Raw genomic sequence first — 11,147 nt, forward strand, 5'->3', positions numbered from 1 at the left:
TTAGTGGTCCCCAGTATCTACTGTTGCCATCTTTATGACCATGAATGCCCATGATTCAGCTCCCTATTACAAGTGAGAACATGTGGCATTTGGCTTTCTGTTCCTGTTCTCCTCTTAGGATGATGGCCCCCAGCTGCATTTATATTGCTGCAAAGGACATGATTTCATTCTTTTCTTATGGCTGCACAGTATTCCATGGTGTATATGTGCCACATTTTCTTTATTCAGTCTACTGTTGATGGGCACTGAAGTTGATTCCATATCTTTGCTACTGTTAATAGGGCTGCAGTGAATACACATGTGCATATGTCTTTTTGGTAGAACGATTTATTTTCTTTTGGATATATACCCAGGAATGGAATTGCTGGGTTGAATGGTCATTCTGTTTTAAGTTCTTTGAGAAACCTCCAAACGGCTTTCCACAGTGGCTGAACTAATTTACATTCCCATCAACAATGTATAAGCATTCCCTTTCTCCGCAGCCTCTCTAGCGCCTGTTTATTTTTTATTTTTATTTTTTTTACTTTTTAATGATAGCCATTCTGACTGGAGTGAGATGGTATCTCATTGTGGTTTTGATTTGCATTTCTCTAATGATTAGTGATATGATGTTGAGCATTTTTTCATATGTTTGTTGGCTGCACGTATGTCTTTTTTTTTTTTTTTTTTTTTTTTTTTTTTGAGATGGAGTCTTGCTCTGTCACCCAGGCTGGAGTGCAGTGGCACGATCTTGGCTCAAGGCAACCTCTGCCTCCCAGGCTCAAGTGATTCTCCTGCCTCAGTCTCCCAAGTAGCTGGGATTACAGGCACCTGCCACCATGCCTGGCCAATTTTCTTTTGTATTTTAGTAGAGACAGGGTTTCACTACATTGGCCAGGCTTACCTCGAACTCCTGACGTCAAGTAGTCCACCTACCTCATATGTCATCTTTTAGGAAGTGTCTGTTCATGTCCTTTCCCCACTTTTTAATGCAGTTACTTGTTTTTTGCTTGTTCAATTGTTTAAGTTCCTTATAGATTATAGATATTAGAGCTTTGTTGGATGCATAGTTTGTGAATATTTTCTTCCATTCTGTAGGTTGTCTATTTACTCTGTTGATAGTTTCTTTTGCTGTGCAGAAGCTTTCTAGTTTAATTAGGTCCCACTTAACAATTTTTGTTTTTGTTGCAGTTGCTTTTGAGGACTTAGTCATAAATTCTTTCCCAAGGTTGACATCCAGAATGGTGTTTCCTAGGTTTTCCTCTAGGATTCTTATGGTTTGAGGTCTTACATTTAAATCTTTAATTCATCTTGAGTCAATTTTTGTATATGGTAAAAGGTAGAGATTCAGTTTCATTCTTCTGCATATGGCTAGCCAGCTAGCCTGGCACCATTTATTGAATGGGGTTCCCTTTTTTCATTGCTTATTTTTGTTGACTTTGTCAAAGATGATATGGCTGTAGGTGTGCAGCTTTATTTCAGGGTTCTCTGTTCTGTTCTATTGGTCGATATATCTGTTTTTGTACCAGTACCATGCTGTTTTGTTTACTGTAGCCTTATAGCATAGTTTGTGATAATGTGATGTTTCCAGCTTTGATCTTTTTGCTTAGATTTGCTTTAGCTGTTCAGGCTTCTTTTGGTTCCATATAAATTTTAGAATAATTTTTCCTAATTCTTTGAAAAATGAGATTTGTAGCTTGATAGGAAGCATTGAATCTGCAGATTGCACTGGGCAGTATAGCCATATTAATGACATTGATTCTTTTGGTCCATGAGCATGGGAATTTTTTTCATTTGCTTGTGTCATCTATAATTGCTTTTAGCAGTGTTTTGTGTTTCTCCTTGTAGAGATCTTTCACCTCCTTGATTAGATGTATTCCTAGGCATTGTATTTTTGTGTGTGGCTATTGTAAATGGGATTGCATTCTTGATTTGGCTCTCAGCTTGAATGTTACTGGTGTACAGAAATGCTGCTGACTTTTATACATTGATTTTGTATCCTGAAACTTCACTGAAGTTGTTTATTAGTTCCAGGAGCCTTCGGCAGCATCTTTAGAGTTTACTAGGCATAGAATCTCATCATCAGCAAAGAGAGTTAGTTTGACTTTTCTTTTCCTATTTGGATGCCTTTTATTTTTTTCTCTTGCCTGATTTCTCTGGCAAGGACTTCCAGTTAAACATCACACTTTTAAAACACAGAATAGTTGCAAGTAATGAAACATGAGAACTAAAAGTCTTTCCCCAACCTGATTCCTCATATGTACTCCTTCCCCAGGGCTAACTAATCCTTCTGACTTGTTCAAAATCCTTCCAACATGTCTGAATGAAGATTTGAGTGTAGATGCAGATCTAGATGTGGATACTGATGGGCAACACACATGCATGCACATAAACACACGTGTGCTTCTCTTTTCTCACATGGGGAGTGTCATGCTGTATGTCCTTTCTAGCTCAGACTGGACCCGATGTGGTCAGGAACAGTATCAGTGCCCTCTCAAGAGGAAAGGGACTTGCTTGAAGTATGATCCTTTCCTCCTTCCTCCTTTCATGCAGTAAACACTTACTGAGTGATAATACTGTCTTTCTCCTCCAGGGATGTGGCTGGAATGTGTGTTGTAAGTGGGGTGAGCGGGCGCCTGCCCTGGGATGCTGAACAGGAGCTAGAATGTGAGATGTCCCAACAGGAGAACCACTGCAGAGCCGTTCAGGGGACATTGCTGGGGGAGGGAGGGTCCAGCCAGTGCCTGACAGGAGCTCCATGGTTTGCTCTGTGAGTGCTGGTTAAGGGCGGGCATGAGGCTGGCTGTGGGACGGGGACATCCTATGCTAAGGACAGTGGCCCCCATGAGGGCTGGGGCAGGTCAGACCTTTCCCAGCAGGTGTCCTAGGTGGCTGCAGGAAAGAGAGAGGGCAGTGGCCTGGTGTGAGGCTGGAGAGACACAAAGACCAGGCTGTGGACCAAGTGATGGGGTCTAGACTTGATCCTATGACCGAAGGGACACAATTGATGAGCAATGTGTGTGTGTGTGTGTGTGTGTGTGTGTGTGTGAAAGAGAGAGAGAGCGCGCGAGCGCGAGAGAGATGGGACATGGTCTATGTTGTAGGCATTGCTTTGCCTGCAGTGTGGATGATGAACAAGTGAGTGGTAGGCCCCACAGGGGTCAGGAGGACGCGTAGTAGGAAGTGATGGGCGGTGGCTGGGACCAACGTCTGGACCAGGGGTGGCATGGGAAGGAAGGAAGCAGGTAAGACATTGGAAGAGTTGAGGTGGGAGAGGAGTCAAGGGGGTTCAGTGGGCCTGTGTGGTGGGCATGCAGTGGCAGACATGATGAGGAGCCATGCTTGGGAGCACAGACAGGGTCTCTGGCTCCTGGGACCCTGTGGCCTTTTCTCTGTGGCCTGTGTGTGGCTGAGACAGCTACTCTGTGCCCAGGTCCTCCTCGGCTCCCCCTGGGGTGCTGTGGGGATCCCGCCATAGCCACAGGATCAGCCTCCACATCACCTCTTGGCCCAGGTGCTCAGAGACCCAGAGCTTGGTGCTGCCGGCCAGAAGGGGGACTCATGTTCCCAGGACCCTCACCGGCCCGGCTGTGGGCCGGTCCAAACCCATGGGCATGCTGAGCCACTTTCTGCTCTTCTTGGAAGTTCCAGTTCAGATACCACCAATTGTGCTCCGTTATGGTGTTCCTGGCTGTTATCTGCTTCAGGCTTATTGTGTTTGCAGTGTGCACAGATCCGGCAGCGTCCCTACTCCAGAGGTGCATTTGCGTGTAAAGCTCTTAATCATTTAATGAAGCACTGAGGTGCTGGCCATCCCGTGGCTGGCGTGGGCTGCGAGGTGCAGGTGAAGGTGAGTGACCACAGTGCCTGCGAGATGCACTCGTGCTTTCTAACGGGCTGGCCGGGCCTCCCACTGTTCTATGTGTATGTCTATTTTCCATTTTGAGAGGCTTTACTTTTTTCTCTCTTTTAAAAATTAAATAGCGTGTTTGTGCACTATTAAAGATGACGTCTCTTGGGAAGGGCTTTTGAGGAGGAGGAAGAGCAGTGAAGGCCTCGATGATTGCCCATTCGTTTAGTCTGCTATCTGTCCTTGACCCCATCATCCAGCAAGCCCATTGGCTAAGGCTCTGATGGCTGGGTGGGCGGAAAGTCCAGCTAGGGCTGCTGTCCACCCCTAGTGTGTGGCAGTGTGTTAAATCAAAGCTCCCAACTTTCTGAGTTGATGTCCTATGGATAGAAACCTTATCTTCCCTGAGGACTTTGAAGCCAGGCTGCCTGGGTGCAAATCCATCTTCCACCCACTGCTGGTGTGACTCCTCCCACTATATTGCCTGAAATGAGCATACAAGTGATTCTCCTGCCTCAGCCTCCTGAGTAGCTAGGATTACAGGCACACGCCACCATGCCTGGCTAATGTTTGTATTTTTTTTTTTTTTTTTTAAGTAGAGACAGGGTTTTACCATATTGGTTAGGCTGGTCTTGAACTCCTGACCTCGTGATCCACCTGCTTCAGCCTCCCAAAGTGCTGGGATTACAGGCGTGAACCACTGTGCCTAGCCGGTTTATGGTTTCTTTAGAGGTAAGAGATTAGGAGGGGATCCCAGAGCTTGGTCTTTTGGGGATCCCAGCTGCCTCTGAGCCAGGGCTGCTGCTGTTAAGGAGGGCACCGATGCTCAGAGCAAGGGCCACTTCCCACAGCTGCATGGCCAGTCAGAGGTCCAGTGAGGTCCAGGGCCCGGCTCTTCTGATGCTCACCTCTTGAAGGAGCCAGAAACCAGGACACCTCCTTCCAGGCTCGTCCTGACCACTGGCCCACACCTGGTTATGGCAGGCATCCCCACCAGGAGACTAGAACTGGCTTCTTATTCTGATTCCAGTTCTGCCATTTGAGCCTCAGTTTCTCCCTCCTTTAAGTGGGGAAGACAGTAGCAGGGCCAGTTGTGAGCAGATTGGGGCTGGAACAGGTTGGCTGCCTTCATTCTATGCCACCCGAATGGTGGGATTCCTGCTCCAGGGGGTTGGTGAAGCCACGTGGAACACTGAGGGGTGTCGCCTGCGACTTGGGCCTGCTTCGGTGACGTTTGGGAATCCATGGAGACGTTGCCTCCACCCTTGCAGCCAGCATGCTTCCTGCCCGTCACAGCCTCTGCCCTTGCAGCCAGCACGCTTCCTGCCCATCATAGCGTGCTGCCGGCGGCGTAGTGTCCGTTTATTTAAGGCCCACTCGTGCTGGCCCCCGTGCAAAGCACAGACTGCCTGTCCGTCTCAGTGCTTGAGACAAGCAACAGTGGAGCAATGGGGGCTGATCTCATTTTTACAGTCAGGGAAGCAGGACTCAGAGAGGGGAAGCAACTTGCCCAAGGTCAGGACAGGGCCTGGTGGATTGAACACAACCCCGCACCGTGAGCCTTGAACCATGGCTCCTGGCCAAGAGCCTGTGTCCGTCCACCTGTTTGACTCCAGCTGGAACACCCAGATTTGACTCTCCTGCCTTTTCTTCAGTCCCTTTTTACAGTTTAGGAGAAGTTTAATTTCACATCTTTGGTGAGAAAATATACATATCTCCTCACACATGCGGCTAATCCCCCACCCTTCACTCACTCCAAAGCAAGTTTTCTTGTCCTTTCATCGAAGGTCACATATAAAATAATAAATATACTTCTCTTAAGAGTATGTGAACTCTGTCATCTGAAATATTTGAAAAATGACTTTTGAATTTTTATGGTTTCTATGGCAAAAAAAATTGCTGAAACAAAAACTCTACTAAATTTTACAGAACTGGAGGTTTGGATCTGCAAATGTGATCTCTCAATACCCATGGGGTCTGTGAAAGTCCCCGTTCGTGGCACTTCCTTCGGGATGAAGTAGGTGGGATTTCTTCCTGGGTCACTCCTAGGCTTCCAGAAGGCGCCCAAACAGGTGTTCCCAACAGGGGCCCTAAGCGCCCACTCCATCCACATGGGGCCAGAATCTGCCTCTCTCCTGAGCACCTGTCATGGTGCTTGTAATGCACCATCCCTGGGGGGATTGAAAGGTGAATCCCTGCAGTCATTTTCTGGGTTCTGTGGCTCAGATGAGGTGTCCCCTGAGAATGATGGCAGAAGCTTGTCATCACCTCCCTCACTGTCCCCAAACCGCAACGCTTCCAGTCTACCCAGAGAAGCCTGGTGCGGACATCAGTCAGTGTTGGATGCCATGGTTTGTCCAGAAGTGGGTGAAGCCCCCCCCCGCCCCAGTATCTGTGCTGACTGGAGCAGAGGACGCATGTGCCTGCTAGGGTGCACTGGCCAATCACTTCCCTCCCCCTCACCCCAAATCACAGTGAGGAGTTCAGAGGGGAGTGTGGGGCGCACATGAATCAATACCGCGTGTACACGGACCAGGTCCTGGCCTGTCTCTGCATCTATAGATCCACATGCGTGTCAGATCCATGTCTACGTATCTATGCATCTCTGCATGTTCCAGACCCTGTCTCTACATGGGTACGATGTCCCTGGGGTGCTGGAAGCCTCTGGCAGCAGAGTCTGCTCCTCAGATGCCACCTGGCGTGCCCCACACCCCAGTCATTCTTGCTTTGCTCCCTGGAGACTCCATTCCTCCAGTCACAGGCATTTGGCCCTAGGGGCACGGCTGGCACAGCATAAGGTGAGGGAGGTGCGTGGTGCGCACAGGTTAGAGGCGTTTACCCTCGGGACCATGCAAGTGCAGCGGCAGAGCCCTCGTGGGCCCCTGAGCACAGGCACTTCTTTGCGATTTGCTCTCAGGGTGCCTCCATTTCCTCATCCCAGTCTACGTGATTCTCAGGTGAGTCTAGCTCACAGCAAAGAGATCACTGTTCACTGTTAAATTTTAAACTGTGGTCATTAAATGCTATTGCACAGGCAGTATCTAAAGACTGATATCTAAAAACATCTGATTTTCAAAAGCCAGAGTTTGAGAGAGAAAAGATTTGGAAAGAATTCTACGGACGTGGCTTTGCCTGCGGAAGGTCAGAGAATGAGGGTCCAGGACAGAATCACACCCTGACTACAGCTTAGGGAATCCTTGGTGACTCTCTGGCTGCACCAAAGATCAAAGAGGGCCTGGAAGGAGAAAGGTGACAGGAGGGGATTGGCCCGAGCCCAGGTGTAGTAAGCCCATGGAGGCCCTGGGTAAGGGCTCAGGGCTGCAGAGAAGGGTCCGGTCTCCTGGGGTGGGTGCAGCCTCACCGAGAAGCCTACAGTGGCCCAGCCCTGGAGGGGCAGTGAAGGATGGTGACCAAAGAAGGCCCCAGGGCAGCTGCTGACCTGCCTTGACACACAGGATTCTGGAGCCCCAAGGGGGTTGTGGAAGAGCCGCATGGGCCACAGAGAACCAAGGATTCTGAGATGGGCTAAGGGGCATAGGCACGGACCACCGGCCTCAGGCGGGGATGGGGTGAGGGCTGTCAGCAAGGGTGAGGGGCATCCCGGGGCAAACGCCAGTGGAAGACCCAGGCCAGCTCAGGACTGGCTGTAGACAACTGGAAGGACAACGTGGAAGATTCTGAAGCCTGGATAGCCTCCTGGGAGAAGGAGATGCGTTCCAGCGACCACCTTGAAGTCTGGAGAGGACCAAGTGACCTTTGATGGGTGAGATGAAGTTTCGTGCTATTTGTGCAAATGCGGGTCAGTGGAATATGTGACTTTTCAGTTACGGAGAAAGAAAATCAAGGCATCCCACCGATTTCAGGTACTGCGGCTCTGATACTTGTACCTGCTACACTTTGCAAGGAGGTTGGCAAACAATCTTCCATCTGCTCCTGTGTGTCTCGCTGTCGGGAATGGGAAGGGAGGCATTCCTAGGGCTGTTGGCTTTGTGGGTTCCCACTGTCCCACTCCAACATTAGGTCTCGCAGGAGCTGGGATGCAGACCCTGGTCTAAGGCTCATCCAGGAGACCTGTGACGATGCATTTATTTTCTAGCGATCCTCCCTGCAGAGAATGAGCTCCTGAAAGGTGGCCCATGGCATTCTGGGAAGAGACTGTTGGGTAGGGAAGGTCCAGGGTTGGGGGTGAGTCTTGGGGTGGGCAGGAAGGAGGCCTGGCTCATCTGGATCAGCATCTGGTCAGGAAGCAGGGCTGGGGACAGGCAGGTGTTTTCCCATGAGCAGTTTGCATGGAGATGCCTTTCCTGCCCCCAAGAGTGCAGGTGCCGATGTCTGTGTACGTGCTGTGCACGTGGGGGTGCAGACTTGGCACAGCCCTGCACAGTCACTGGATGGGCAGCGGCAGACGTGGAACAGGTCAAACTGCCCTTTGTCTGCAGACTGGGCAGACCTGAGGGACGTGGGGAGAATCAGGCAGGACTCACTGCTGCAGGGCTTCCAGTCACTTTGGGAACCCAAAGGAGCTTCCAGTGCTGAGCCCACTGCAGGCCGTGTGCGGGCAGGGCAGGGACTGAGAGCAGGGGCTTTCCACCAGGACTTCTGCCTGCTGCAATGAGACGGGGCCAGGCAGGCATGAAGCGGAGGCCAGGGGGCTGTGCCAACCTGGAAAAAGTACACATGTAGAAAGTACATGAAGAACGTGATTACCTACAACAGCCCCAGCCAAGCACAGCTGTTCACATTGGGCCCATTTTCTAGGAGTGTGTCTAAGTGGGTGTGAATGGCTGTGTTCAGACTGCATACTCTTTGTATTGTCCCATTTGTCAATGAAAAGTAAGTCCTTCACTTTGGACTGGAAGTCCAACTTTTTTTTTTTTTTTTTTTTTTTGAGGCAGAGTCTTGCTCTGTTGCCCAGGTTGGAGGGCGGTGGTGCAGTCTCGGCTCACGGCAACCTCCACCTCCCAGGTTCAAGTAATTGATTTTCCTGCCTCGGCCTCCAGAGTAGCTGGGATTAGGGGCACCCACCACCATGCCTGGCTAATTTTTTTTGTACTTTTAGTAGAGATGGGGTTTCACAATGTCGGCCAAGCTCGTCTTAAACTTCTGACCTCAAGTGATCCATCTGCCTTGGCCTCCCAAAGTACTGGGATTACAGGCGTGAGCCACCACGCCCGGCCTAGAAGTCCAACTTTTTACCCTTTTGTCCAGACAAGACCTAGTCTTTTTTAGGGGGAGGTTCTGATTAGTGAGTGTAGATTTGCACTTGGTACTGAGGCCTGGTCATGTTTTTAAAGTGTTTCATTGATAAGCTACGGGTGCATGAAAATGTCTTATAATCACACCAGTGTTTGCACCTTAATGTTGTCGTGGGGTGAAACAAGGCTCTATCCATTCACGCTTGGACCACAAGGTCACCTGTGCTTGTTCCCTGCAACTTTGATGTGGGGCTGGTAGGAGACCTCCTGCTATGGGACAGGGGCCAATTCGGGGAGTGTCGAGGTCCCCCTCCGCCAGAGGGAAGCTGCAGCCCCAGTGAGGGGTCAGGAAACCCCGAGTGCTCGGGAACAAGGCTCCAGGGAGTCACTGTCCCAAGCTGGGGAGTTTTCTAAAGGTGTTCGTTGTTGTGGATGGAAGCGACGTTGCTGCCGGACTGGGACGCAGGTGCCAGGGGATACAAGCGAGTTCCGGCTTCACCCACTTTCTTGGTGCCTGTTAGGGAGGCGGGAGCTGTGAGTGTCCTGGAACCCTGCATTTCTTCTCTTGGCTTCCTTTTTATTCTAGAGCTCATGGTCTCTGATGGAGGCTGATTAAATCCCTGGATCTGGTATTTCTAAAGAGTGAGGTTTCTTGTCTTGCCACCAGATGTCAGTAAAATCCCTCTTAAAATAAATGTGCTGCTGGGCAGGTGGATCCAGAGAAGGGAGTCCTGTCTAGGATTTGAGGCTTGGCTGAGGTGCCGGAGAAGGCTGTGGTCCTGTGTGCTGATATGGGCAGCTCTGGTCCCCAGGCTCCTTGGGGAGGCCTGACTCTGAAAGCTCCCCCAACTTGCCTGCCTTGCAATCCCAACTCTGCTGGCACCCTCGCTTGTGCAGGAGGCCACTGCAGTGCAGGCGTGGGACGCGGAGCTGCTGCTGAGGGACCGGGGAGGGGCCCCACGCTGGGGTCTCAGCACTCAGGTTCCTCTGCTTCCGGCAACACCTCGGGCTCCATCTGTGCAGGATTTGTTGCAGGAACAGGGGAGGCTTTACAGGGCTTTGTTCAGCGTGGTTCTGCCTGAGGGCGATGACATTTTTATTTATTTTAATTTATTTTTTTGACACGGAGTCTCGCTCTGTTGCACAGGCTGGAGTACAGTGGTGCGATCTCAGCTCACTGCAACCTCCGCCTCCCGGGTTCAAGTGATTTTCCTGCCTCAGCCTCCTGAGTAGCTGGAGGCTACTCAGACGTGCGCCACCACGCCCAGCTAATTTTTGTATTTTTAATAGAGACAGGGTTTCACCATGTTGGTCAGGCTGGTCTCGAACTCCTGACCTTGTGATCCGCCCGCCTCAGCATCTCAAAGTGCTGGGATTACAGGTGTGAGCCACCACTCCCAGCCAACATTTGTTAATATAACTGCAGAGCCACATCGCGTCCACACCAGGGATGCTGTCGGGGTGACTCTCCATAGGCTGGAGAGGACCCCAGGAGACAGGGGAGGGATGGTGCTGACGGAGGTAGCAGAGGGCCCCGGGTGCAATCCCTATAATTCCCATGCTTTGCCACTTTACCTTAGAAATAGGGACCATCTCTGGATTGTATTTATTGCTCATGAAACAGTTTCACGCCTCTTTTCCACTTGTTCCAGCAGAAGCGTGTGGGTGGCACTGATTCCATTAACGTGTTGTCATCTTATTTACTGGGTTGATACTGATTCCAGAAGCTCTGGGCTGAGAGTGGCCCAGGGTGGGCCTAGCTGTCCTGCTGGGGGCTGGGAGGGCGGCGAGGTGACTGGATGTGCAGGCTTTAGGTAGAGCTGCACTTAAGTCCCAGCCACACTCGTGATTCCTGGATCACCCTGGGAAGTGTCCTGATCGTCCATCTTGCTCCTGTATCTCTAGAATGGCAGCAGTAATGCCTCTGCCATCAATATTTTGAAGTTTAAACAGATACTATCTGAGCTGTAAGAGCAAGAAGTCATGGTGAGCTCTGCAGAAGAGTGAGGAGGGACAGGAGCTAAGAAAGGGCCGAGCCAGCCCTGTAGGCCTCCCACGGGCTTGGAGGGCCCTTGTCTTAGTGGACAGATGAATTGCTTGGGTGATGATGAGCTGGCTGGGGG

At 50.5% G+C, this 11,147-nt stretch overlaps 1 annotated feature.

Annotated features, from left to right (window-relative positions):
- Positions 9,928-10,428: an enhancer, noted in NCBI's record as "H3K4me1 hESC enhancer chr13:112127213-112127713 (GRCh37/hg19 assembly coordinates)". NCBI's record gives its function as "activates a minimal SCP1, AML or CMV promoter by ChIP-STARR-seq in primed H9 embryonic stem cells {active_cell/tissue: H9 hESC(primed)}" and the evidence as "EXISTENCE:reporter gene assay evidence [ECO:0000049][PMID:30033119]".

Source organism: Homo sapiens, chromosome 13, assembly GCF_000001405.40.
Source record: "Homo sapiens chromosome 13, GRCh38.p14 Primary Assembly".
NCBI lineage: Eukaryota > Metazoa > Chordata > Mammalia > Primates > Hominidae > Homo > Homo sapiens.